Source organism: Homo sapiens, chromosome 16 (genome assembly GCF_000001405.40).
Source record: "Homo sapiens chromosome 16, GRCh38.p14 Primary Assembly".
Classification (NCBI taxonomy): domain Eukaryota; kingdom Metazoa; phylum Chordata; class Mammalia; order Primates; family Hominidae; genus Homo; species Homo sapiens.
In genome coordinates, this window is record NC_000016.10 from 31,131,432 (window position 1) to 31,157,058 (window position 25,627).

At 54.5% G+C, this 25,627-nt stretch overlaps 2 protein-coding genes across 6 annotated transcripts, besides 12 other annotated features; both read right to left on the minus strand.

Moving 5' to 3' along the window:
* Position 1: 1 nt before the first annotated feature.
* On the minus strand, positions 2-4,296 carry PRSS8 (serine protease 8). Its single transcript, NM_002773.5, has 6 exons — positions 3,983-4,296; positions 3,723-3,740; positions 1,795-1,957; positions 1,251-1,522; positions 998-1,164; positions 2-904 (listed from the first exon to the last, which is right to left on the minus strand). The coding sequence occupies exons 1-6, from the start codon at positions 4,065-4,067 to the stop codon at positions 578-580; spliced, it is 1,032 nt and encodes a 343-aa protein (NP_002764.1). The 5' UTR covers positions 4,068-4,296; the 3' UTR covers positions 2-577.
* Positions 517-1,462: an enhancer, noted in NCBI's record as "H3K27ac-H3K4me1 hESC enhancer chr16:31143269-31144214 (GRCh37/hg19 assembly coordinates)". NCBI's record gives its function as "activates a minimal SCP1, AML or CMV promoter by ChIP-STARR-seq in naive H9 embryonic stem cells {active_cell/tissue: H9 hESC(naive)}" and the evidence as "EXISTENCE:reporter gene assay evidence [ECO:0000049][PMID:30033119]".
* Positions 2,411-3,357: an enhancer, noted in NCBI's record as "NANOG-H3K27ac-H3K4me1 hESC enhancer chr16:31145163-31146109 (GRCh37/hg19 assembly coordinates)". NCBI's record gives its function as "activates a minimal SCP1, AML or CMV promoter by ChIP-STARR-seq in naive H9 embryonic stem cells {active_cell/tissue: H9 hESC(naive)}" and the evidence as "EXISTENCE:reporter gene assay evidence [ECO:0000049][PMID:30033119]".
* Positions 7,045-7,738: an enhancer, noted in NCBI's record as "H3K27ac-H3K4me1 hESC enhancer chr16:31149797-31150490 (GRCh37/hg19 assembly coordinates)". NCBI's record gives its function as "activates a minimal SCP1, AML or CMV promoter by ChIP-STARR-seq in naive H9 embryonic stem cells {active_cell/tissue: H9 hESC(naive)}" and the evidence as "EXISTENCE:reporter gene assay evidence [ECO:0000049][PMID:30033119]".
* Positions 7,495-18,635, minus strand: PRSS36 (serine protease 36). Of its 5 annotated transcripts, none has more exons than NM_001258290.2 (15): positions 18,568-18,635; positions 18,265-18,300; positions 18,032-18,067; positions 17,642-17,804; positions 16,964-17,244; positions 14,358-14,524; positions 12,157-12,406; positions 11,911-12,040; positions 11,306-11,562; positions 11,065-11,213; positions 10,292-10,529; positions 10,038-10,179; positions 9,061-9,326; positions 8,863-8,984; positions 7,495-7,985 (listed from the first exon to the last, which is right to left on the minus strand). In NM_001258290.2, exons 1-15 carry the CDS (start codon positions 18,602-18,604, stop codon positions 7,707-7,709), a joined length of 2,553 nt encoding a protein of 850 aa, NP_001245219.1. In that variant the 5' UTR covers positions 18,605-18,635; the 3' UTR covers positions 7,495-7,706. The 5 variants fall into 5 exon arrangements, with proteins under 5 accessions (NP_001245219.1, XP_016878457.1, NP_775773.2 ...); XM_017022968.2 differs by having other exon boundaries at positions 8,870-8,984; positions 11,050-11,213; NM_173502.5 differs by having other exon boundaries at positions 11,050-11,213.
* Positions 7,739-8,431: an enhancer, noted in NCBI's record as "H3K27ac-H3K4me1 hESC enhancer chr16:31150491-31151183 (GRCh37/hg19 assembly coordinates)". NCBI's record gives its function as "activates a minimal SCP1, AML or CMV promoter by ChIP-STARR-seq in naive H9 embryonic stem cells {active_cell/tissue: H9 hESC(naive)}" and the evidence as "EXISTENCE:reporter gene assay evidence [ECO:0000049][PMID:30033119]".
* Positions 8,713-9,248: an enhancer, noted in NCBI's record as "H3K4me1 hESC enhancer chr16:31151465-31152000 (GRCh37/hg19 assembly coordinates)". NCBI's record gives its function as "activates a minimal SCP1, AML or CMV promoter by ChIP-STARR-seq in primed H9 embryonic stem cells {active_cell/tissue: H9 hESC(primed)}" and the evidence as "EXISTENCE:reporter gene assay evidence [ECO:0000049][PMID:30033119]".
* Positions 9,249-9,782: an enhancer, noted in NCBI's record as "H3K4me1 hESC enhancer chr16:31152001-31152534 (GRCh37/hg19 assembly coordinates)". NCBI's record gives its function as "activates a minimal SCP1, AML or CMV promoter by ChIP-STARR-seq in primed H9 embryonic stem cells {active_cell/tissue: H9 hESC(primed)}" and the evidence as "EXISTENCE:reporter gene assay evidence [ECO:0000049][PMID:30033119]".
* Positions 10,714-11,003: a silencer, noted in NCBI's record as "silent region_7411". NCBI's record gives its function as "represses an Ori minimal core promoter by ATAC-STARR-seq in GM12878 lymphoblastoid cells {active_cell/tissue: GM12878}" and the evidence as "EXISTENCE:reporter gene assay evidence [ECO:0000049][PMID:35858748]".
* Positions 11,054-11,463: a silencer, noted in NCBI's record as "silent region_7412". NCBI's record gives its function as "represses an Ori minimal core promoter by ATAC-STARR-seq in GM12878 lymphoblastoid cells {active_cell/tissue: GM12878}" and the evidence as "EXISTENCE:reporter gene assay evidence [ECO:0000049][PMID:35858748]".
* Positions 11,514-11,593: an enhancer, noted in NCBI's record as "active region_10750". NCBI's record gives its function as "activates an Ori minimal core promoter by ATAC-STARR-seq in GM12878 lymphoblastoid cells {active_cell/tissue: GM12878}" and the evidence as "EXISTENCE:reporter gene assay evidence [ECO:0000049][PMID:35858748]".
* Positions 17,269-17,806: an enhancer, noted in NCBI's record as "H3K4me1 hESC enhancer chr16:31160021-31160558 (GRCh37/hg19 assembly coordinates)". NCBI's record gives its function as "activates a minimal SCP1, AML or CMV promoter by ChIP-STARR-seq in naive H9 embryonic stem cells {active_cell/tissue: H9 hESC(naive)}" and the evidence as "EXISTENCE:reporter gene assay evidence [ECO:0000049][PMID:30033119]".
* Positions 17,807-18,342: an enhancer, noted in NCBI's record as "H3K4me1 hESC enhancer chr16:31160559-31161094 (GRCh37/hg19 assembly coordinates)". NCBI's record gives its function as "activates a minimal SCP1, AML or CMV promoter by ChIP-STARR-seq in naive H9 embryonic stem cells {active_cell/tissue: H9 hESC(naive)}" and the evidence as "EXISTENCE:reporter gene assay evidence [ECO:0000049][PMID:30033119]".
* Positions 18,343-18,879: an enhancer, noted in NCBI's record as "H3K4me1 hESC enhancer chr16:31161095-31161631 (GRCh37/hg19 assembly coordinates)". NCBI's record gives its function as "activates a minimal SCP1, AML or CMV promoter by ChIP-STARR-seq in naive and primed H9 embryonic stem cells {active_cell/tissue: H9 hESC(naive and primed)}" and the evidence as "EXISTENCE:reporter gene assay evidence [ECO:0000049][PMID:30033119]".

Below are 25,627 nucleotides of genomic sequence, written 5' to 3' on the forward strand. Positions count from 1 at the left end.
GTTGTGCTCAAACATTTTAATCATTTCTGCCCTGTTACTCCCACCCCAGATCCAAGCGCCAGCCCAGTTCCGGTGGGGGCTCAGTCCTCCGGAGTCCAGGAGTCAGGGCTCGGGGGCGCTCAGCGGCCAGTGGGCAAGATTGGGGCCTTTCCTGTCCTCGAAGCTGCACAAAGGTGGCCCCAGCCCAGAACACAGGGAGAGGGCAGAGAGATGTGCTCATCAGTCTGGGCAGGCGGGCCGGGAGCAGTCTTCCAGAAACAGGTGGGAGCCAGGGCTCATTTTCATAGCCAAGGGTCCCAGGAGCTCCCCAGGAGCTCGGCCAATGGGCTGGTCCATGGTGGGTGAGGGGCCAGAGGCTCTGGCCATTGCTACAGGCAGTAAAACTCCTGACTCTCAGTGATGGTCCCAAAAAGCACACCCAGAAGAATGGGCTCAAAGATCAAGATGGGGCCCCAGCCTCCCGCAGAGTCCTGAAGGAAGGAGTGGCTCAAGTCAGGCCCTGGGTCCAAAGGCCATCAGGGAAGGACCAGGCTCCTGTCCTTGAGTGTGATGCATCCATCCTGGAAGTAGGGCCAGCTCAGTGCTCGCTGAGCCATGGGGAGAGGAGGCCCAGAGCCAGGCCCAGAGGCAGGAAAAGGATGGGCCTCAGCAAGCCCTGGGCTGGGGCAGAGCTGAAGGCCAGGTGGCTGCCACAGAGGTTGCTGTCGGGCTGGGACTCCTGGGTTTGGGGCACCACACGAGGCTGGAGTTCTGTCACCTTGCTTTGGATCCAGGAGGCATAGCTGGAGGCCAGAGTGTACACACCAGGCCTGTTGCGGGCCCCACAGGCATCTCCCCAGCTCACAATGCCCGTCAGGTACCAGAGACCCTCCACAGGGCAGGAGAGTGGGCCCCCAGAGTCACCCTGAGGAGAGAAGCCACACAGCAGCCATCAGGACCGGGCCAGGCCTCCTTTCCGAAGTTGCACTGGTCATCTGCCCCCCGGGCCTGTGCTTACCTGGCAGGCGTCCTTGCCCCCCTCCACATAGCCAGCACACACCATGTCCTCTTGGACAAAGTGCGGCTCCTCAGGCTTGGCGTCGATGTTGTACAGGCAGTTACACGTCTCACGACTGATCAGAGGCACCTCGAGTTGCTGCAGTGGCTTGGGCGTCAGGAGGCTCACTGTGGGGGTAAAAGAGGCTTACCCTGGGCCCCTCCCCAAGTCAGGTGCCCCTCCACACCTCTAGGCACCCAGCGTCCCACCTCACCTGAGGGGGCCACATGACCCCAGCCAGTGACAGTGCAGTGGAGGCCGTTGGGGAAGGAGGCGTTGGCTGCAGGGAGGCAGATGGGCCGGATGTAGCGGGAGAAGGTGATGGGTCTGCTGAGTTGGAGGAGTGCAATGTCGCCCTGGGAGCCCTCCTGGAGGTAGCTGGGGTGGGGGATGATGTCCTTCAGGGTGCTGACCTTGGCGTCCTCGGAGTAGGAGTCTAGCTGGTGGGCCCCCAGCTTGACCTCATAGGCTTCCTTGTGGTGCTCGCTGCAGGCAGGGGGCAAAGGCTGAGACCCAGGAGACCTCTCCTTGTTCCCCAACCCCCACTGCCAACCCCTGATTCCGATCAGCCCCTTTTAGGTCTCAAATTGCACCTTAGTTTTATCATGTAACCTCTGACCCCTCACCTTCACTCCTAACTGGTCCTTCCAGACTTAGAACTGACACTCTCAGACCCAACCCAAGAACCCCAACCTCTGACCTGGATTGACCCATTAACTTTGACCTCCAGCCCACTTTTGACTTTCACCATTTGGTACCTGGGGAAGCAGTGAGCAGCTGACAGCACCCACTGCTCAGACACGAGAGAGCCACCACACACATGGACGCCTTCATAGGTGATGCTGACCTGCCAGGGCCACTGACCGGCGACTGCACTGCTGCCACCTGTGATGCGTGCTTGGGGGGCCACACCGCAGGGAGCTGCCCAGGGAGGAAGGGAAGGGGTCAGGTTGTTAGCCTGGCCACTCCTATGCAGCCCAGGAGCTCTGATATAGAGCTTGGGAAGTGGGTTCACAGGAGTCAACACCCCTTTGTCCCCTCCCAGGCATGGGCAGTTGTGCCCCTTCTGTCCACTACCCATTACCTAATTCAGGTCTCATGGCAGCTTCTCTCCTTGCAAGCCTTCCATCCATCCCGCCCCTTACAAGTCTGAAGATTTTCATAAACCCCCAATCTGACCAGGCCACAGCCCTGCTTAAACCCTTCTTGGCTCCACGCGGTCCTTAAGATACATTCCAGACAGACCATGGCACCGCCATCGGACCCAGCCGTCCCCTCTGGACCCTTCAGTTGTGTACATCAGGCCACACACTTGTTTACCCGGGACCTTGGCTGATCCAGGTCACTCTACCTGGTATGCCCTTCCCCATCCTTACTGTCTGGCAAACTTCCCTTTGCCTGTGGATGCTTGATTGGAACAGCAGCCCCTCCGTAGACAGGCGGGCTTCTGCTGGCTGAGTTGGGCATTGCCTCCGAGCCCAGCACCCCCCAACCTCCACCATGCTCCCCGATGCTGCCCAGTCTCACAATTGTTCCGGAGTCCACAACTGTGTCTGTTTCCACCACACCAATCTGGGCATTCCCTAGGGGCAGATTCTCATGTCTGCAGTGCCTGTGGCGTCGTGGACATATATTCAACAAACCAACAGCAGAACTGGGCTCCTGTGATGTGAATGTCTAGTTTCCAGGACAGCCCCAGCCCCACCCCCATTGAGGCCACTTTGGAGTGGAGCCCAACTGCTCTTCACAAAGTCATCTAGGAGCAGAGAAAATTGCAGACCAGATCTTTCTCTCCCTTATCATCATGACAATAGCCACTATTTAGAGAGCCTAGCGGCTGTGCCAGGCCCTGGAGGGGCTTTCGCTTCCTCATCTCCCTGCATCCTCTCCACAGCCCCAGGAGACGGACATGACCAGCTTCATTTTAGAGGTGAGGAGTCTAAGGCTTAGAGAAGTGGGGGGACTTGGCCAATGACACACAGCCAGTGCATGGGGAAGCCAGGATTGAAAGCCGGTCTGACTCAGAGCTGGGTTGGGTGCCTTCCAAGAAAGGAGACCCTTGGTTTGGTTCCCTCAAAACCACCTCCAGGATGGGAACGGTGGCTCACACCTGTAATCCCAGCACTTTGAGAGGCCAAGGCAGGAGGATCGCTTGAGCCCAGGAGTTCAAGACCTGCCCGGCCAACATAGTGAGACCCACATCTCTACCAAACAAAAACAAAAACAAAAACAAAACACAACTAGCTGGGTGTGATGGCATGCACCTGTAGTCCCAGCCACTAGGGAGGCTGAGGTGGGGAGGTGGGAGGATCACGTGAGCCCGGGAGGCTGGATCACTGAGACTGCAGTGAGCTGCGATCGGGCCACTGCACTCCAGCCTGGGTGACGACAGACCCAGACCCTGTTTCAAAAGACAAAAACCAAACCAAAAAAACCACCTCGATTGCCCCACTTTGGGAGTCAGACGTGGATCTGAATCCCAGCTGCACCTTCACTGGCAGTGTGCCCTGGGCAAGTCCCTGCTTCTCTGCCCATAAGGTGAGGGCTAAAACCCCCCACTCTGGGAGCCCTAAGAGAATCTAGTTGGAAGGCAGCCCAGCTGAAGGCCAGGCACTGGTTAAACCCCAGGGGAATCCGATCCAAGTCACCTCCCCCTCCCCTCCTCCCTCTCCGAGGAAAGTCTCACCTTCTGCCCCTTCCGCTCCTAGAAAGAAAGAGAAAGAGGAGGGGTGAGTAGGGAAGACTCGGGTTCCCTGACCCCTTAGTACCCACCACTGCTCCAGAGGGCTGGCCCCTTCCCTGACAGAGCCAAGGTGGGAAAGAGAGGCCAAGAGCTAGGGAGGCCGGGGGTTTTCTTGGGCCCCAGACAAGGGCACACCCCAGAAAATGATCACGCCGGCTCCCTCCAGTGCATTGTCCCCACCCTGCCCCCACGTCCTCACTTACCTGTCCCCGACCGGAGTAATCCAAGATAGAGCAGAATGGCCACAGCCCCCAGCTGCCCAGGCCCCAGGACCCCCTTCTGGGCCATGGCCCAGGACAAGGGCCCCTGGGGCAGACTCCAGGCACGCAAGGTAGGAAGCCTTGGGGTGGTGTCGAAGGCAGGACCCAGATGTTGGCTCAGAGGGAAGGATCCCAGAATCCGGGCTGGAAAGGGGCAGCAAGTGTCCAAGGCTGGCCTCTAAGGCAGGGAGCGGCCGCAACGGGAGACGCCTGGAGTATCCGAAGCGAGCAGTGTGGACGAGTCACCAGCACCGTCTGGCCACGCAGGGTCCTCCCAGGAGTGGCTGCACCTACCTGCCCGCCCCTCCCCTGGCCCCGCCCACTGGCTGGGCTCCGCCAGCTCCTCTTGCCACCAAAGTCATGAGTCCTTTCAGAGCTGCAGGCCCGTGTGTGTGCATGTATGTGTCCGTGTGTATGTGTGTGCACATGCATAGGCCTTTTGTGTGTGTGTCCCGGTGTGTAGTGTGTATGTGGTGTGTGTGTATGCCTGTGTAGGCTGTGTGTGTCCTCTTATGTGGTGTGGTATGTGTGTGTGTGTGCATGTACAGGCTGTATGTGCACATGTGTAGGCTGTGTGTGTCCCTGTGTGTGTAGTGTGTGTGTCTGAGTGTGCGTGCATGCACGTGCATGTGGTTTGTGTGTGTGTGCAGTCTCCCTGGAATGTGACGACTCTCCTCCGCCTCAGGTCTTTCAGGTTATCTCAGGCCAGTTATGCCCCCCAGGGCCTGGCCCCAGCTTTTATTATCTGGAGCCACAGCCACTCCTCCCTTCTTCCCTCCCTCCTTAGGCTGGTTATGGGAGCTTAAGACACTATGGTCTGTCCCCTGCCAGGCCCTTTCTGCGATGCCTGCACCTCATGGGTGGTGGCGAGCTTGTGGAGCAGCACCAATCATCCCACAGACATTTCCTAAGTGCCTATGATGTTCCCAGGTGTCCAGGACAAAACAGGCACCAGCCCCGTCCCCCTTGAGCCCTGAGCTCATGGTGAAGTAGGGGTGACACACTTCAATCAAATAATCACAAACAGGCTGGCAAGGTGGCTAGTCGGCTTTGGGAGGCTGAGGCTGGAGCATCACTTGAAGCCAGGAGTTCCAGACCAGCCTGGGGAATATAGCGAGGCCTCATCTCTACAAAGAAATATAAAAATTAGGCAGGCATTGTGGCGCATGCCTATGGTTCCAGCTATTTGGGAGGCTGAGGCAGGAGGATTGCTTGAGCCCAGGAGTTCAACGAAGCATTGAGCTATGATCACGCCACTGCACTCCAGCCTGGGCAACAGAGGGAGACCCTGTCTTAAAAAAAAAAATTGCAATTACACAATAATTTCAAGCTAGGAATAGTGATGAAAAAGAATGGCGTGAGCACACCACAGCCTGGCAAAGGCTGGCATTGTGAAAGGGTCCTCGAGGAATTGCCTTGGAAACTGAGACCGAAAGGGATTATAAAAGGTGGTAAGGCGAAGATGGGGGGATGGGGTGCAGAGGGCAGAGGCTCAGGGAAAGAAGGCTTGCCGTGTGGCTGCGGTGGGAGTGAGGCATGTATCCTCCTTGAGGGCCACTCTGGCCGTTCAAAACACCTGTTGAGGCTGGGTGTGGTGGCTCACGCCTCTAATCTCGGCACTTTGGGAGGCCAAGGCACACGAATCACGAGGTCAGGAGTTTGAGACCATCCTGAACAACATGGTGAAACCCCATTTCTACTAAAAATACAAAAATTAGCCAGGCGTGGTAGCACGCACCTGTAATTCCAGCTACTCAGGAGGCTGAGGCAGGAGAATCGCTTGAACCCAGGAGGTGGAGGTTGCAGTGAGCCGAGATATTGCGCCATTGCACTCCAGCCTGAGCGACAGAGCGAGACTCCGTCTCAAAAAACAAACAAACAAAAAAAATTGTGGAGCTTGGATGTGGTGGCTCACACCTATAATCCCAGCACTTTGTGAGGCCAAGGTGGGAGGATCATTCTCAAGATCAGGAGTTTGAGACCAGCTTGGCCAACATGGTAAAACCCCGTCTCTCCTAAAAAATACAAAGAAAATTAGCCAGGCGTGGTGGCGCATACCTGTAATCTTAGCTACTCGGGAGGCTGAGGCAGGAGAATTGCTTGAACCTGGGAAGCCAAGATTGTGCCACTGCACTCCAGCCTGGGCAACAGAGGGAGACTCCATCTCAAAATAAATAAATAAATAAAATAAATAGGCCAGATGCAGTGGCTCACGCCTGTAAATCCCAGCACTTTGGGAGGCTGAGGTGGGCGGATCATCTGAGGTCAGGAGTTCAAGACCAGCCTGGCCAACATAGAGACACCCCACCTCTACTAAAAATACAAAAATTAGTTGGGCATGGTGGTGGGCACCTGTAATCCCAGCTTCTCAGGAGGCTGAGGCAGGAGAATTGCTTGAACCTGGGAGGTGAAGGTTGTAGTGAGCCGAGATTGCGCCATTGAACTCCAGTGTGGGCGACAATAGCAAAACTCTGTCTCAAAAAATTAAAAATAAATAAGTTAAATAAAAATACAAAAATTAGTCCGGCATGGTGTCTTGAGTCTGCAATCCTAGTTACTTGAGTCTGAGGCAGGAGGATCGCTTGAACCCAGGAGGTGGAGGTTGCAGTGAGCCGAGATTGCACCACTGCACTCCAGCCTGAGCATCAGTATGAGACTCTGTCTCAAAAAAAAAAAAGTGGAGATGGGGGTCTTGCTTTGTTGCCCGGGCTGGTCTGGAATGCCTGGCCTCAAGCGATCCTCCCAAAGTGCTGGGATTACAGGCATGAGCTGCCGCACCTCGTCTCTGGTTTTGCGTTACTTTTTAATTGTAGATTCATTGGCTGGAAACCACCTTCCCTTTTTCTGTGCTCAAACATCACTGCTATGACATCTTCCCAATCCCAGCCAGGGATGTCCACATGTGTCCCCACTAGATTGGGAGGACTTTGTGGGCTTATATATCAGACCCCAATTGTGCCACGACTTAGTAGCCACCAGGGAACACGGGTTGAATGAATGCAGGGAGGTGCAGGTAAGCAGTGGGTAAGGGAGTGAGGTTCACATATAAGGGACCCAAGTTCTGGGCAGAATGTGAAAGTGGCAGACCCTTGAAGGGCCCAAGTGTTGTGTGTGTGCAGGGGATACATCGGAGCATTGTGCATTGAGGTGTGTCTATGGCGGGCAGCGAGGGCAGCGGGTCTGAGCAGGGGATGAGATGTCCAGCACGTGCCGAGGGTGCTGACTCCACTGGGCAGGTGACACACAGCCAGCTGGCCACCCGACTTCCCTGCCCTGGGACAGGAATGAAGGAATCGCTGCCAGGTTATCAGGGTACATTTCCTGAGAGCCCAAGGCCTGACTCAGAGGCCGGAGGAGGGAGGAGGGAGGGGACCTCCCCCTTGGGCTTCCCGCTTAGCCTCTGATGCCCAGCCCCTCAGCCTGCCCACGGCGATGCCACAAGGCCACACAGGTACCTGTGTTTACACCTTTATTGTCCGCTCCTCCCACCACCCCCAAGGATTCCTGGGTTCAAAATAGCCCGGGCACTGAGGCCCAATTAGCCAGAGCCGCTGCAATCTCGGTGGGTGGGGCCCTTGAGGTTCCAGCCGGCTGGGCCACATTCCAGCCCCACTGGGCGGGAAGTAGAGGGTGGAGAAGGGGGAAGTGGTGCTGGGACCCTAGCCCCTCAGCTCTGGATCAGGAGAGTCAGCAGGAGCAGGAAGTAGACTGCATGCGGGGATCCCGAGGCCTTGGCCAGTTCTGGGGGGCAGAGATTGCTGCCTCCAGTGGGCCAGTGTGGGGAGCCACTGGGGGGCAGGAAGTTGGCCTCTCCCACTGTCTGGGAGATCCAGGCCTCTTCAGGACCAATGGCAGCAAACAGCTCCCGGCTCCCTTGAACAGCCATGCCCACGAGGATCCAGGACCCTTCCGTCATCTGGCACAGGAGGGGCGGTGCTGAGGTCATCTGCAGAGTTGGAGCGAGGCCACGTGGGTCTGCTGCCCTTCCTCTTGGTCCCCTCCCCCTTTCCCCAGGGTCTGGCCACGAAGCACTCTGGTCTGCATCCCTAGACATCCAGGTCCCTGGTTTCTCTCCCGGGTCCAGCTAGGGTCCCATTTGGGGCCAAATACCCAATAATTCCAATCCTGGCCAGGTGCAGTGGCTCACACCTCTAATCCCAACCCTTTGGGAAGCCAAGGTGGGCGGATCATTTGAGGTGAGGAGTTTGAGTCCAGCTTGGCCAACATGGTGAAACCCTGTCTCTACTAAAAATACAAAAATTAACCAGGTGTGGTGGTGCATGCTTGTAATCCCAGCTACTAGGGAGGCTGAGGCAGGAGAATCTCTTGAACCTGGGAGGTGGAGGTTGCAGTGAGCCAAGATCACACCACTGCACTCCAGCCTGGGTACCAGAGCGAGACTCAGTCTCAAAAAAAAAAAAAAAAAAAAAAAAAAATTCCTTGGCCGGGCGCAGTGGCTCACACCTCTAATCCCAGCACTTTGGGAGGCCGAGGCCGGCGGATCACGAGATCAGATCAAGACCATCCTGGCTCACACAGTGAAACCCCGTCTCTACTAAAAATACAAAAAATTAGCCGGGCGTAGTAGCGGGTGCCTGTAGTCCCAGCTACTCGGGAGGCTGAGGCAGGAGAATGGCATGAACCAGGGAGGTGGAGCTTGCAGTGAGCCGAGATCGCGCCACTGCACTCCAGCTGGGGGACAGAGTGAGACTCTGTCTCAAAAAAAAAAAAAAAAAAAAATTCCAATTCTGCTATCTCTCTAGGGTACAGTAGTCCAACACTGCCTCTCCCCTGCCTACTCCAGGACGCCCAGGCCCCTGTACCTCACACCTGTTCTCCTGCCCCTCTGCATACAGGACACAGAGGGTTCCAGGGGGCAGGATGCCCTGATAGAGGCAGTCACAGATTCGTTGTGTCAAGATGGAGACAGCAGCAGCCACAGGGACTGGGGAGAGGAGACAAAGTTGTTCCAGGGCTCTGGCCTCCAGCTACTCCTCGTTCCCGTGACCCAGGGGTCTCACCTCGGTCCTGGGGTTCTTTCCAGCCCAACACCCAGCAGCTGGCCCCCGGGGGGATACCCGCCGGGTGGAGACAGATGGGCAGGGCTGATGGGGAGGGCTCCACCCGGGAGCTCAGCTCCAGGAGGGCCAGGGGGGGCCTGAGTCCCAGGTGCTGGGGCAGCCGGATGCTGATGACCAAGCGGGATACCTGGTGGCCCTGTGGGAGGGAGCTGGCCCCTGCCCGGCCCAGATACACTTCAATGTAAGGCACTGTTGTAGAGCCTGGCCTGTTGGAACAAGGTCCAATGTCACCTTCTGCTCCTCCCATTGCTGGCAAAGTCCTTCCCAGCCCAGGGGAAGGATGACTCTCTGGGGTCATGCCACTCACTCCTTCATCATCCCTCCTTCCAAATCTCCCTTCTAGGTCAAAACATCTCCCAGTGCTGTAAGATTCTTCCCTCATGCCCCACCCCAGACAGAGTCTTGCTCTGTCGCTCCGACTGGAGTGCAGTGGCGCAATCTTGGCTCACTGCAACCTCTGCCCTCCCTGGGTTCAAGCGATTCTCCTGCCTCAGCCTCCCACGTAGCTGGGGTTACAGGCGCCTGCCACCACCCCTGGCTAATTTTTGTATTTTTAGTAGAGGGGTTTCACCATGTTGGCCAGGCTCGTCTTGAACTCCTGACCTCATGATCTGCCCGCCTCGGCCTCCCAAAGTGCTAGGATTACAGGTGTGAACCATTGCGCCCAGCTGTAAGATGCTTAAAGGAGAATATCCCACTATTTTAAGAGTCCTTTGGGTGAGGCACAGTGGCTCATGCCTGTAATCTTAGTACGTTGGCCAAGGCAGGAGGATTGCTTGAGGCTGGCCTGGGCAACACAGCAAGATCTCATTGTTAATTTTTTTTAAACAAACAAACAAACAAATAACAAAAACAAGTCTTTGGCTCTGTTCCATTCTCCCCTCCCGTCTCTCGCCTAGGAGACGAGTGAGACCCACCTGAGGACACAGTGAGTGGCTGCCAGGACCCAGCCTGGGGCCAGGAGGATCCCAGTGCAGACTCGATCACCAGCCACATGCACCTCTGCCAGCCAGGGCCACAGGACCCCCACTGGAGCAGCCTCCAGCCGCAGGCCACAGGCTAGGGAGAGGAGGTGGCCACCTCAGTTGGGGCCCCATGGCTGACCCCTGAGCCCCTGCCATGGGTCTGTGCACTCCCAGGAGCCCCTAGGGCCCAAAAGCGTCCTGCTCACCACCATGCTCTGTGTGTGGGGGACAAGTCTGTGTCTCAGTCTCCTCCCCATCAGGGCCCCAATCCCAGGCTAGCTGGTCCTCCAGGTAGGCTCCCCGAGTCACATGGCTGATCCATGGGCCATGAGTCTGCAGAGGGAAGAAGGCTCGGGGACGTAGACAGCCACTGGGAAAGTCTCTGATTCCAGCCAGAAACCAGGTCCCCTCCTCCTGGCACAAAAGGCTCCAACGCGAGTCATTCTGCAGCAACAAAGTGTGTGTGTTACTTGCCTCTGCGTGTGTGCAGAGAATATCAGAGCTCCTGGGGCTTTCCAGGACTCCAGATTTTCCCATTTGCGGAAGTATCAAGTTCCACCTTCTCCAAATCAGACTCCAAATACTAATTTGTGTAAGAATTCAGCCCTCACTTTAAGATTCTCCTTAAATCCAGAGATAGAGAGAAACCATAGCACCAGCTCAGAGCCCGCCTCAGCTCCCTCCCAAAAGTTCTCTAGGGGCAGGCCCCACCCCCAGCTCGTTCTGGCCCCGCTTCCACCCCGGCTCCGCCCCATTCCCAGTTCCGCAAGCCCCGCCCCTTCCTAGAGCCCACTCGGACCCGCCTTCCCCAGGCCCCGCTCCCTCCCTAGAGCCCACTCGGACCCGCCTTCCGCAGGCCCCGCCCTCTCCCTAGAGCCCACTTGGACTCGCCTTCCACAGGCCCCGCCCTCTTCCTAGAGCCCTCTCGGGCCCGCGTTCCGCGGGCCCCGCCCCCGCCGCTTACCCAGCAGCTGCCCACCTCCTCCTTTTCCTGGTAGGCAGGGCAGAGCGCGTGCGGCGGGTCTCCGGGCAGCGGTACTGCCGCCCCCTGGCGGCCGTACAGGCAGTGGCACCACCAGCCGCCTAACAGCTCCGCCTCCAGCAGCGCGCCTGGGCCAAGCGCGGGTTCTGGAAGGGAAAAGGCAGGGAGCCCGCGCTGCGGCCCAGACGGCCCCTGCACCGCCCGGTGCCGCCCGGCCCAGCGCCGGTCCCCAGCTCACCCCCGCGGCCCCAGCGGGCCAGGCGGCAGCGGCTCCCGGGCAGGAAGTAGTGTTCCGGGTGGGGTAGGCACACGGGCCGCGAAGCCGCGCTCAGGTTCACGGGCGTGCGCAGCTGCAGCAGCGCCAGGTCCGAGGCGTTGTCCCACGAAGCGTTCTCGTGCTGCACCAGGCGCGCCACCCGCTCCGCGCGCGGGCGCGAGGGCAGCAGCACGCGCCAGGCGTCGAGGTCGCGGGGTGGGCTGTCGGAGCTGTTCGGGCTGCGGGATGGGGGCCGAGGGACGTGGGCCGGATCCCGCACACGTGGCTGGAAACCTCACACCCCGGCTTAGACTTGCCAGGCGAGGATCCTGCATCCTGGCGGGATCCCCACGACACCCCCATTCCAACAGCTCACTCACACCCCCGCCTCCGGGATCGAACTTCTATCTACCATGCCTCTACCCACCCCTGCCAGGCCAGGACCCCTCTTTTTGTGCTGGATCCTACACCTCCGAATGGGACCCCGCCCCCCCCACACCCCCTGGGGAGGGGCTGGGGCCGAATGGATGGTATCTCAGGCTGTAGGGAGGGGCAAGGATCGGCTTGAAACGTAGATTTTCACTCACTCCAGAAAGCAGCTGGCAGGTGCCAAGACCCAGCTTTCAGACACCAGCGCCCCATGGCAGGGTCTGGATCCTGGCACCATCACCTGGGCCTCCCAGGGCCAGGCCCCTGGCCGCGGGGCCTTCCCGCACTCTGAGGGGTGAGAGGCCTGGGTCAGTGGGCCTCCTGCAACCCAATCACTCCCAGCAGTCTCCATCCCAACTCACTCTCCCATGTCCCGCTTACATCCAGGGGTGCCGCCCACTCACCAGGCAGGGCAATGGTGCAGTTCTCCTCCCTGGGCTCCTGGGGATCTGACTGGGTCTTCTGGGGCTGGGTGGGAAAGGCAGGCCCAGGCTCTGAACCCATCACCTGCTCCCGTATCCATGCCTCATAGGTAGCCACAGCAGTGAAAACTCCAGGGCGGTTTCTCCGTCCACAGCCAAAGCCAAAGCTGGTGATTCCTGCCTGGAACCAGCGGCCGCCTTCCTCACAGACCAGGGGCCCCCCAGAGTCACCCTAGTGGCAGATGACTGCATGTCAAGGGGTCAGCCCAGGGACCTACTCGAAAAGGTCCTGCACCTCCTTTTGGCCCAACATACACCACCTTCTCCCTTCTCCTAGAAACCCTCCTTGGCTAGGCCTTGTCCTCTGCATTCCCTGCGGCTCTAAACAGAAGAAATCCCTGTAAGCAGAAGGCCGATGGCAGCCAGAGCCAAGAGCACCAGGGGAGTGCATTCAAAGCCACACAAGATAATCCTGCAGTTGTCATTAGAGCCAAGTGATTCTTGTTGTTACTAGCTCAAATAATTCCCCTCCCTCCCTTCCTTCCTTCTTTCCTTCCCTTTCTTTTTCTTTCTTTCTTTTCTTTTTTGAGACGGAATCTCGCTCTGTCTCCCAGGCTGGAGTGCAGTGGTGCAACCTCAGCCCACTGCAACCTCTGCCTCCCGGGTTCAAGTGATTCTCCTGCCTCAGCTTCCCGAGTAGCTGGGACTACAGGTGTACACCACCACAGCCGGCTAATTTTTGTATTTTTGGTAGAGATGGGTTTTTGCCATGTTGGCCAGGCTGGTCTCAAACTCTCGACCTCAAGTGATCCACGTGCCTCGGTCTCCTAAAGTGCTGGGATTACAGGCGTGAGCCATTGTGCCCAGCCAGTTTGTCTCTTTTTTTGGGATGAGGTATCACTATGTTGCTCAGGCTGGTCTCAGACTCCTGGGCTCAAGTGATCCTCCCGCCTCAATTTTTCTGATTAGCTGGGATTACAGGCATGAGTCACTGCTCCTGGCTATGCTGTCTTTGGTTTTTAAATTCACTCGGCCTTGGCTGGGCATGGTGGCTCATGCCTGTAATCCCAGCTACTTGGGAGGGTGAGCCAGGAGAATTGCTTGAACCCGAGAGGTGGAGTTTGCAGTGAGCCAAGATCGTGCCATTGCACTCCAGCCTGGGCAACAAGAGCAAAACTCTGTCTCAATAAATAAATAAATAGCTGGGCATGGTGGCTCACGCCTGTAATCCCAGAACTTTGGGAGGCCGAGGCAGGCGGATCATTTGAGGTCGGGAGTTCGAGACCAGCCTGACTAACATGGAGAAACCCCATCTCTACTAAAAATACAAAATTAGCTGGCCGTGGTGGCACATGCCTGTAATCCCAGCTACTTGGGAGGCTGAAGCAGGACAATCGCTTGAACCCGGGAGGCAGAGGTTGTGGTGAGCTGAGATCGTGCCATTGTACTCTAGCCTGGGCAATAAGAGTGAAACTCCGTCTCGGCCGGGCGCGGTGGCTCACTCCTGTAATCCCAGCACTTTGGGAGGCTGAGGCGGGTGGATCACGAGGTCAGGAGATCGAGACAATCCTGGCTAACCTGGTGAAATCCCGTGTCTACTAAAAATACAAAAAAAAAATTAGCTGGGCGTCGTGGCGGGCATCTGTGGTCCTAGCTACTCGGGAGGCTGAGGCAGGAGAATTGCGTGAACCCGGGAGGCGGAGGTTGCAGTGAGCTGAGATCATGCTACTGCACTCCAGCCTGGGCGACTGAGCAAGACTCCGTCTCAAAAAAAAAAAAAAAAAAAAAGGAACTCCGTCTCAAAAAATAAATTAAATAAATAAATAAATAAATACATAAATAAATTCACTTGGCCAGGCGCAAGTGAATGCAAAATTAGCAGTCTGTGGTGGTGCATGCCTGTAATCTCAGCTACTTGGGGGGCTGAAGCACAAGAGTCGCTTGAGCGGTGGGGGTGGAGCAGGGGGAGGTTGCAGTAAGCCGAGATTGCGCCACTGCAGTCCAGCCTGGACGACAAAGTGAGGCTCTGTCTCAAAATACACAAACAAAAAACTTCACGTCAACCCCATCCCTTGGCAATCTTGCCCTCCTTTTGCAGATGAGGCTTGGAGAGATGTCCTTTATCTATTTGTCACTGGTTAGGACTCTGGCCCTGCCAGGCAGGTGCCGGGGCCTTCCCTCACCTGGCAGGTGTCCCTGCGGCCCTCTGGGTAGCCAGCACACAGCATCCCTGGCAATATCTGGAGAGTGAGGTTGAAGGGACCGGGCTGGCTGTAGAGACATTGACAGGTGGCCTCGCCCAGCAGCCTTAGCTCCACTTCCTGTAGCACCCAGGGGAGAGGCAGAGGATCTGGAGGCAGAACCAGAGAGCAGGTGCTGTGAGGCAGGTATGGCATCCCCAGTTCCCAGGGTTCAGGTTTGCCTCCTGCGGCTGCTTCTTGGACATCAGCTAGATGCCCCATGGCCTCTCAGCCCACCACATTCACCACATCTCCTCCTGCTTCTATCTGTTCTTTCTACTTTTTCATCTCAGGAATGGTCTCATCAAGCTCCTAGTGAGAGCTGCCATGCATGGTTGTGCAGGTTGTGCACTGCAACAAAGGATGCAATGTAGGGACTAAAACCATTAAGTTCTGAGCTCTCACGTGGAGTTGTGTTGGTCCAGAGACATCTTTTCACAGAGATGCCATACGGACTTGACATGGTCCTGTCCTGAGTTGCCAAGCATGGAATCTGGGTGTCATCCCTGTCTCCTCTCTCAACTCCCCTCCTCCAGTCAGTTCCCAGTTCATGAAAACCTCTCATTTGTGACGTCTTGGCATTCTAAACAACTACACTAGTTGAGGCTGCATAGCTTTGGGCCTGGATAACTGACCCAGCCTTCTGATCCACTCTTCACTTCAGCAATGAAGAGGAATGCTACTCAAGTTCAGTTCTGATCTCACCAAGAAAAATAAACGGATCACACTGTCTAAACTTGGTGCTGCAGCCCATCCTGCTTTTGACGGAAACAGCTTCAGGATCCAGAAAGGAGTAGGGGGTGGGGGGAAGTACAGACAGAACTCCTTCCCCAACTCACTCAGAATCTGAGGTCAAAGGCGCGGTGACTCACACCTGTAATTCCAGCACTTTGGGAGGCCGAGGCAGGTGGATCACCTGAGGTTAGGAGTTCAAAACTAGCCTGCCCAACATAGTGAAACCCTGTCTCTACTAAAAATACAAAAAATTAGCTGGGCGTGGTGGTGGGTGCCTATAATCCCAGCTACTTGGGAGATTGAGGCAGTAGAATCTGCTTGAAGCTGGGAGGCGGAGGTTGCAGTGAGCCTAGATCGCGCCGTTGCACTCCAGCCTGGGCAACAAGAGTGAAACTCTGTCTCAAAAAGAAAAAAAGAATTGATGAAAAAAAGAAAAGAATTTGAGGTCAGGTGATGGCTGAAGCTGTACTTGGGGCTCACCAGGGAAGTTGGGGATTGTCCTGGGCGTCCCTGGAGCTGGTGGGGTGCTCTGGCCCTCAGTCTGATCTTAAGGTCTTCATGGCCGGGCCACAGCAGCCTTTGCAGCCCAGGTGCCTGTACCCCTCTCACTCCAGCCTGGCATCCTGGCCCTTCTTCATCTAACATGACTTATCTGGGTCCACAGGGTGGCCTTCATCTCCCCCCATCTTCCTGCAATGTACCCTCTCTTCAAAAATCTCTGCAGAAATCTCCCTCTCTGGGTGCCCATTGTTAGGATGGCCTGGCCCCATTCACACAGACTTCCTGGGGCTCACAGTGACGCTTCCTCATCACCTCCTGCCCTGATGGGACCTCCACAAGCAGAGGCTGTAGCATCTTCCCCTGTAGCACCTACCCAAAGCCCCGAGGATGGGCACAGGTCTGACCACGGCTGATGTGGATATTTGTGGGGGCCCTGGGAGCATGGAAAGCTTGGGTGATGGGGATGATGGGGATGGAGATTTGGTCTATTCCCCCCCACCTTCTAACATAATGCGTGCTTATTTATTGAATTTGTTGCTTGTCTATCTCCTAGGATGTAAACTCTGAAAAGGCAGGATTTTGGCTTTTTATGTTCACTGGTGTCTCTCTAATGCCTAACACGGTGCCTGGCATGTAGAAGGTGCTCAAGAAATATCTTGAGTGAAAGAATGATTGAATGAATGATGGTGGGTAGGAAGAAGAGAGGAGGTGGGGAGTAGAGAGATGAGTGGGGGTGGATGGAATGAGAGGAAGGCGGATGGGAGGGAGGCACAGACTGGCATTTGCTGAATATCTATTATAGGCCAGCCTTATGCTGTAGTGCTTTACTATAGATTACCTGAGGTGAAATATGTAAAGTGCATTGGTTATTGCTATGCCAGGCACTGTACTATGAACTTTACATGGATTTTCTCATTTAATCCACTCAACCACCCCTTGAAGTGGGTATGGCTATTTTCCTCGTGTTACAGATGAGGAAATGTACTGGGTGAAGTGCTTTGTCTGACATGTTAGAGCTGGGATGGGAACCCTAGTCGGAGCCTAAACCCAGGAAAGAAAAAACTGGAAGGACAGGTAAGGAGGGAATGGGGTGCGTGTGGGTGATTCCGTGGTCTTAGTTTGAGAATCCTTGCAGGGAGAAGGCTACATGGAGATCGGTGTGGGATTCATCCACCGACCCGCAGAAACCTACCCTCCAACGCTCCCCGCAGGCTCCGCTCCGTGGCCCCACCTCCTGAGGCCCCGCCCTAGGAACCTCACCTCTCGAAGCCCCACCTCCCCGAGGCCCTCCCCTCTTGTCCCGTCCCACTCACCTGCCTCCTGGACGTCTCCCCAGCCGGTGGCCCAGCAGGCGGTGCCGTGCACGAAGCGGTGTGAGGCGCGGGGCAGGCAGACAGGCCACACGGCGGGGCCCAGGCTGGCGGGTGAGGCCAGGCGCAGCAGGGCCAGGTCGGCGCCCAGCTCCACTTGGCTGTAGTTGGCCGGCACCACGATGGCGGCCACTGCGCGGGTGTGCGCGCCGTCCAGGGGCCCGTCCTGGGAGTGCACGCCCAGCAGTACCGACCACTCGGCCGCGGGCTCCAGCGTCCCATTCCTGCGCTCGACCGGGGCAGTAGGAGGTTAGGTTGACCCTATGGAGGGGGCAGACCCTCGTTGGGGGCAGGGGCTCAGAGCCAGAGGGGCAGGTGCTATCCGATCCAGATTTGGTGCTGATACTCCTCAAAGGGGAAGAGCAAATCCGATTTGGAGCTGGTGGTGGGGGGGTCATTGGAAAGATGGGATTCAGACCCGGATATTGAGTGGAGTGGTGGGACCAGTCCGGCAGCCTTGCCCCACTCGGAACCATGATGCCTCGAATAGCACCTCGCTTTGGGGACAGCTTGGCTCCAAATTATCCTTGAGGACGGAAGTGGGGCGGGAGGAGGGGACCAACTGCGGGGGCGGGGGCCAGCTTTTGGCGGAGAGGGGCCAGGACCAGGGCGAATACTCACGTCATGAAACAGTGAGCAGCGGAGAGGACCCAGGAGGGGGCGATGAGGGAGCCCCCGCAGATGTGGCCACCTCCATGGTGCAGGCTCACTTGCCAAGGCCAGGTGCCCGGCTGCGCGTTTGAGCCCCCCACGATGCGGGCCGAGGGCTCAGGGCGCCCGCAGTCTGCAACGGGGAGCCGTGGAAGCCAAAGCTCCCCTCGGGTTCCCCACTCCAGAAGCCCAGGTAACTCAGGACGAAGGCCCGTCCTCCACCCACTTCAGTTTGCCCCTCTGAACAAAGAACATAGAGGACCCAGGCTTGTCTACATTTCTGGTCTTTTCCACCTCCCTCATGGCCTGACCAGCCTTAGCCTCCTTTAAGGTCTGAGGGTGCCAAGGCCTCTTCCTTACCCAGATCTTCAGGTTCTTCCTGGGTAGGACTGAGAGCTGGGAGCCAGAGGGGAAAGAGAGGAGGACACTTGTGACTTCCAGGCCTGCACCGCCCAGCCCCACTTCCTGCTCTCCAACCCCCGACCCTATCTTCCCACTTCCCTGTCCGTTCAGCAACCCCTGCCAGCACCCATGCCAGTCCTCTGGTCTTTTCTGCCTCTGCACGTGACTTTCCCCCAGTCCGGCTACCTTACCTGAGTCCTGGAAGGCTCCTGGGATGGGACTGATGACTGGAAAGACAGAGGTAGGCAGGAAGAGGCTGGCGACTCGCACTCAGTATGTGCCCTCCCTGACTCCCTCCCCCAGCCTCCTAGCCTCCGTCTCCCCAGGGCACCCAGGCCTCCCTCTCCCTCCTCTGATACATCCTCGCCTTCTGCTGCCTCACTTCCTTCTCTCTGACTTCCTGCTCCCCACACAGAAACCAGGAATCCTGCTCTCCAGCCCCCCAGATGCCAGGACCCAGGCCCTTTGCAGCCACTCTTGTCCCCTGAGGTTACCAAGCATCACAAGGGGGAGGAGCAGGTGCCGGGCCATGGCGCTAGAGTCAGCGGAGGCAGAGCCAAGTGAAGGTCTGCTCCCTGCAGGGCTCTGTCACTGCCCAGGCAGCCCGTGACTCCTGATGGTCCCAGGGGCAGCCCCACCCTCCCTGGCTGGAGCCCATCTCTGGGAATCTGAGAGGATCTGGGGCTGGAAGGGGGAAGCTGGGGAGCCTGAAGGCCCCACCCAGAGCCCTGCGCACATCTCATGTCTCTGGAGGCCCAGGGTGGGGGTGGAGGACAGGTGTCCTAGCTCCTGGACACCTGTTGGGTGGGAGAGGGAGGGATGAAAAACACTGCAGGCAAAGGTCAAAGAGGAGGACAGTGTTCTGTGTCCTTGGTGAGCAGTGGCCCTTAGGACAGGGGAAGTGGCCCCTCACGGGCATGACTCATCGGAGACCTCACCTCTGTTTGGGGTGCGGCTGCCCCAGTGGCTTGGCCTTTTCTTCTCACACAGCTCTGGTTACTGGAGCTGCTGGCCAGGTCTGGGACAGGAGCCCTAGGGAATTCAATCCCATCCCAACAAAAGGATCACAGATTCCAGCAGGTTGGGCAGGGCATAGGGACCCTGGGAGGGGGCTGGGCAGGCTGGCGAGGCTGAAAAAGCCTCCACCCTGCTCTGTGTTCCAGTGACAATGCTCTTAGCTGCCCTGTCACTTACTCTGTGTGACTTTGGGAAAGTAACCCAACCTCTTGGTGTGTATCAGTAAGAGCCAGTTTAAGGGACATATGACTTGGCCGAGCACGGTGGCTCACTCCTGTGATCCTAACACTCTGGGAGACTGAGGTGGGAGGATTGCTTGAGGCTAGGAGTTCAAGACCAGCCTGGTCAACATAGCAAGACCCCATCTCTACAAAAAATTAAAAAATACAAAAATTATGAACTGCAGGGCGTGGTGGTGCACGTCTGTATCCCAGCTACTCGGGAGATGAGGTGGGAGGATTGCTTGAGCCTGGGAGGTCGAGGTTGCAGTGAGCTATGATTGTGCCACTGCACTCCAGCCTGGGTGACAAAGCGAGACCCTGTCTCAACAACAACAACAAAAAGAAAAAAAAAAAGAAGAATAAGAAGAAGAAAGAAACATATGGCTCTTCAAAGAGGAGTTGAAGAGAGTTTAAGGAAGAAACTATTTATAGAAGTGTAGGCAGGGTCAAAGGAAACCAAAGAGGCTGGGTGGCTCACGGCTGTAATCCCAGCACTTTGGTAGGCCGAGGCGGGCAGATCACCTGAGGTCAGGAGTTCAAGACCAGCCTGGCTAACTTGGAGAAGCCCCATCTATACTAAAAATACAAAAATTAGCCGAGTGTGGTGGAACTCACCTGTAATCCCACCTATTAGGGAGGCTGAGGCAGATAAAAATGCTTGAACCCAGGACGTGGAGGTTGCAGTGAGCCAAGATAGCGCCGTTGCACTCTAGCCTGGGTGACAAGAGCGAACTCCGTCTCACAAAAAAAAAAAAAAAAAGGAAACCAAAGAGGGATGGTAACGCATCCTGGGGCCAGCAATAATAGAGAGCCCTTGCTACCTGCTGGCCTGAAGAGGCAGAGAGGGGGCAGTTACTGGAACCCAGCAAGAGCTGCAGCTATGGAAGAGATAGCTGTTAGGAGCCGTGGCCTTCAATAGAGAAATGCAGCCTTTACCAGCAGAGAGGGAGTGGGGAAAGAAAAATCCCCATCTCACTCTCATCTCATCCTCTCTATTTTTAATTAAACCAATTAAAAAATTTTAGAGACACGGTCTCACTCTGTCACCCAGGCTGGAGTGCAGTGCTGTGATTATAGCTCACTGTAACCTCGAATTCCTGGGCTTAAGCGATCCTCTGGCCTCAGCCTCCTGAGAAGCTGGGACTACAGGCACGCACCACCATACCCAGCTAATGTTTTTTATTTTTGTAGAGATGGGGTCTTATTATGTTGCCCAGGCTGGTCTCAAACTCCTGTCTCAAGCGATCTTGCTGCCTCAGTCTTCCAAAAGTGCTGGGATCCTCCCATCCTCTGATCACCCCCTGGCTCTTTTCATTGAAACCTCCCAGAGGCCAGAGTTCAAGGGAGACCATTATATGGTCCATAAAGGTCACTCTTAGGGAACAAATCAGGGTGGACAGCAGAAATGCAGGGTCAACCCAGGAATATTTACACATGTGTATCTATCTTCTTACTGATAATATCAATTAATAATAATATTGGTCTATGAGTCTAGTTGCCCTAGAAAACAGGCCTAGGCAAAGCCTGCATGCTTGTGCTTAATTGGGAGGTGCAATCCCAGGGTGGCAAGATTGAGGGAAAATGAGAAGTGAGCAGGAAGAGGGAAAATGCAAATTCAGCCACCCAGCAACGGACTGGGCTCAATTGATAAACCTGCTAGCCTTAGCCTGTCCACAGGAAACGATGGAGGTAAATTGAGTCTTAACTTCAGATTTCTTAACAATGAGAGCCTCCTCAGGCATTTGTTTAACTTGCTGCTTGGGTAGCTATTTGCCCTTCAAAGGATAAATAACCAATCATTTAACCAAAACTCAGAAAAATGAGGTAATGGGCAAAGGTAGGAAAGAAGAGAGTGCAAGTGTCATTGACGCAAAACATGCACGCCCTGGAGACCCTCACCGATACATTGCTTGCTCCAATTTAGTGGTTAATAAACATTTTGGAGCTGGGCGCGGTGGCTCATGCTGGTAATCCCAGCACTTTGGGAGGCCGAGGCAGGTGGATCATGAGGTCAGGAGTTCAAGACCAGCAGCCTGGCCAACATGGTAAAACCCTATCTCTACTCAAAATTAAAAAATTAGCTGGGCATGGTGGCATGTGCCTGTAATCCCAGCTACTCAGGAGGCTGAGACAGGAGAATGGCTTGAACCCAGGAGGCGGAGGTTGTGCTCAGCTGAAATCGCACCACTGCACTCCAGGCTGGGTGATAGAGTGAGACTCTGTCTCGAAATAAATAAATAAATAAATAAAATTTTGGGGCCAGGTGCAGTGGCTCAAGCCTGTACTAGTGCTTTGGGAGGCCAAGATGGGAGGATTGCTGGAGGCCAGGAGTTCTAGACCAACCTGGGCAGCATAACGCGATCCTGTGTGTGGTGGTGTGCACCTGTAGTCCCAGCTGCCCAGGGGTTTCTCCATGTTGGTCAGGCTGGTCTCAAACTCCTGACCTCAGGTGATCCACCTGCCTCGGCCTCCCAAAGTGCTGGGATTACAGGCATGAGCCACCGTGCCCAGCCAAGACAATGATTCTTAACCCTTTCCCCAACCCAGCAGACATGAGGAGTAGGACTTGCTCTGCTAAATAGCACAGACGTTGGCCAGGCGCGGTGGCTCACGCCTGTAATCCTAGCAGTTTGGGAGGCCGAGGCAGGTGTATCACCTCAGGTGAGGAGTTCGAGACCAGCCTGGCCAACATGGTGAAATCCCGTCTCTACTAAAAATACAAAAAATTAGCCGGGTGTGGTGGTGGATGCCTGTAATCCCAGCCACTTGGGAGGCTGAGGCAGGAGAATCGCTTGAACCCGGGAGGCAGAGGTTGCAGTGAGCTGAGATTGCACCATTACACTCCAGCCTGGGCAACAAGAGCAAAACTCCATCTCAAAAATAAATAGATAAATAAATAAATAAGTATAAAAAAATAAATAGCACAGAGGCTCGCCAAAGCAATGGATCTTATGGGAGGAAGGAGAACATTTTCTTGTAGGGAGACAGATTGGAATTTCTGGAGGAGCAAGTGCAGTTTGCAAAAGCTGCCCAGGTGATTCTTATGGTTTCACCACTCTAAGATGCCCTTGATTGCAACTAGCAGCCAAGGTAAGGAGGGAAGCTCAAGCAGGAGTCTCTCTCTTCCAGGTTCAAGGACAGAAAATAAATTTCTCCTTGGAGGAGCCAGGTGTGCCGGTGCATGCCTGTAGTCCCTGCTACTCTGGAGGCTGAGGTGGGGGGATCCCTTGGGCCCAGGAGTTCGAGTCCATTCTGGTTGGGAGATCATGTCTCTTTACTTGGGTATAATAAAATCTTTCTTAACAACATCATGTGAAAAACAGCAAATAGTTTCATGAGGTTTTTTTTTTTTTTTTTTTTTTTTTTTTGAGATGATGTTTCGCTCTTTTTGCCCAGGTTGGAGTGCAATGGCATGATCACGGCTCACTGCAACCTCCACCTCCCAGGTTTAAGTGATTCTCCTGCCTCAGCCTCCCGGGTAGCTGGGATTACAGGAGCCCACCACCATGCCCTGCTAATTTTGTATTTTTAGTGGAGACGGGTTTCCACCATGTTGGCCAGGCTGGTCTCAAATTCCTGACCTAAGGTGATCTGCGTGCCTTGGCCTCACAAAGTGCTGGGATTACAAGCATGAACCACCATGCCCAGCCTTTTTTTTTTTTTAGAGATGGAGACTCACTCTGTCACCCAGGCTGGAGTGCAGTGGCATGGTCATAGCTCACTGCAGCCTCGAGCTCCTGGGCTCAATCGATTCTCCCATGTCAGTCTCCTGAGTAGCTGGGACTCCAGGCATGTGTCACCATGCCTAAGGTTGATTTTTATAGTGCTGCTTAATTTCAGCCTATGACACCATAAACAAACCACAGTCAATAAAATAAGGATATGTGGGTGGTGCCTCTGGGTAAGAAAGGTGATACATACGCAGTTCTCTACTGGTCTGACTAGTGGAGGGGGAAATGATAGGTGAACTAGTATATTAGTTTTCCATTGCTGATGTAACAAATTCCCATATACTCAGTGGATTAAAACAATACCAACTTATTATGTTACAATTTCAAAGATTAGAAGTCTGGCACGGGGCCGGGTGTGGTGGCTCACGTCTGTAATCCATCCCAGCACTTTGGGAGGCTGAGGTGGGCAGATCACTTGAGGTCAGGAGTTCGAGACCAGCCTCGCCAACACAGTGAAACCCCGTCTCTACTAAAATTACAAAACTTAGGCACGTCTCTACTAAAAATACAAAAAATTAGCCGGGCATGGTGGCAGGCGCCTGTAATCTCAGCTACTCGGGAGGCTGAGGCAGGAGAATCGCTTGAACCTGGGAGGCGGAGGTTGCAATGAGCTGAGATCACACCACTGCACTGCAGCTTGGGCGACAGAGTGAGACTCCGTCTCAAAAAAAAAAAAAAAAAAAAAGACCAGGCGCAGTGGCTCATGCCTTGTAATCCCAGCACTTTGGGAGGCTGAGGCGAGAGCATCACTTGAGCTCAGGAGCTTGAGACCAGCCTGGAAAACATAGTGAAAACTTCATCTCTATTCCTAAAAATAAAAATTAAGAAAAGATAACTGGCAGAATAGACGAAAGCTAAACATATGCCTGTATTTTGACCCAACAATCAAGATCCTAGGTATAGACCTAAGAGAAATGAGGGTGCCATAAGGCATATGCAGAGCATGGCACTCATAGAAGGTCTAGATACAAGAGCCAAGATCCAGAACATAAATGTCCGGCCCCAGGAAAATTGATAAATTGTGGCATAGTCATACACTGAAATACTATGCAGCAATAAAAAAGAATGAATTACTGATATCTGCAACAACATGGATGAATCTTACAGATTTTTTTTTCAACAAATATGTGTCATATTGCATGATTCCAATTATATGCAATTTAGGAACAAGCATAACTAATCCCCAGTGGTAGAAGTCAGAATAGTGGCCGGACACGGTGGCTCACACCTGTAATCCCAGCACTTTGGGAGGCTGAGGCAGGCGGATCACTTGAGGTCAGGAGTTCAAGACCAGCCTAGCCAACACAGTGAAACCCTGTCTCTACTAAAACACAAAAATTAGCCGGGTGTGGTGGCACATGCCTGTAATCCCAGCTACTCAGGAAGCTGAAGCAGAAGAATCGCTTGAACCTGGGAAGCGGAGGTTGCAGTGAGCCGAGATAGCACCACTGCACTCCAGCCTGGGTGACAGAGCAAGATTCCATCTCAAAAAAAAAAAAAAAAAAAAAAAGGAATCAGAATAGTGGTTGCTTCTGGTGGAAGTATTATATTATGTGGGAAGGAGCACAGAGAAACTTGCTAGAGTGCAAGAAAGTTCTAGATCTTGATGTAGGTGTGTATATACACAGGAATATACACATGCAGAGTTTCACTGAGCCGTACCCTTAAGATCAGGACTCTCTATGAACTTAGCTAGAGATGCTGAGGTGGGAGGATCTCTTGAGCCCAGGAGTTTTGAGACTAGCTTGGGCAGCATAATGAGACCCCATCTCTAAAAAAAAAAAAAAAAAAAAAAGTTTACACCTGTATCCCAGCACTTTGTGGGGCCAAGGCGGGTATATCCCCTGAGGTTGGGAGTTCAAGACCAACCTGACCAACACAGTGAAACCCTGTCTCTACTAAAAAAAAAAAAAAAATACAAAATTAGCTGGGCATGGTGGTGCATGACTATAATCCCAGCTACCTGGGAGGCTGAAACAGGAGAATCACTTGAATCCAGGAGGCAGAGGTTGCAGTGAGCTGAGATCGTGCCATTACACTCCGGCCTGGACAACAAGAGCAAAACTCCGTCCCCAAAATAAATAAAATAAAATAAAAATTAGCCAGGCATGGTGGCATGCACCTGTAGTCCCAGCTACTCGGGCTGAGGTAGAAGGTTCACTTAAGCCCAGGAGGTCGAGGCTGCAACGAGCTATGATTGCACCACTACACTCCAGCCTGGGTGACAGAGCGAGACTCTGTCTCAAAAAAGAAAAAAAAAAAAAAAAGAAAAGAAAAGAAAGAAAGAAGGAAAGAAAAAAAAAACTATATGGTTATTCCACATGAGTAAAAAGAAATTAAAAGAGGCAAAACACACTTTGCAAATAAATGGATTCCAGAGTCAATTAAGAAAAAGCCAAACGAACTAGCTCCAGAAATGCTTTCCTGGACCAAAAACGTTGGGAAAATGTGCAGCTTTACATCCGATAACACCAGGGCATGTGTGTAATGTTGTTTCTGAAAGCTTAGCTAAAATAATGAAACCCTTCAGCATTTGGAAAAACAAGAAAAGCATGCTTAACCAAAGATGTTGATATTATGTTTCC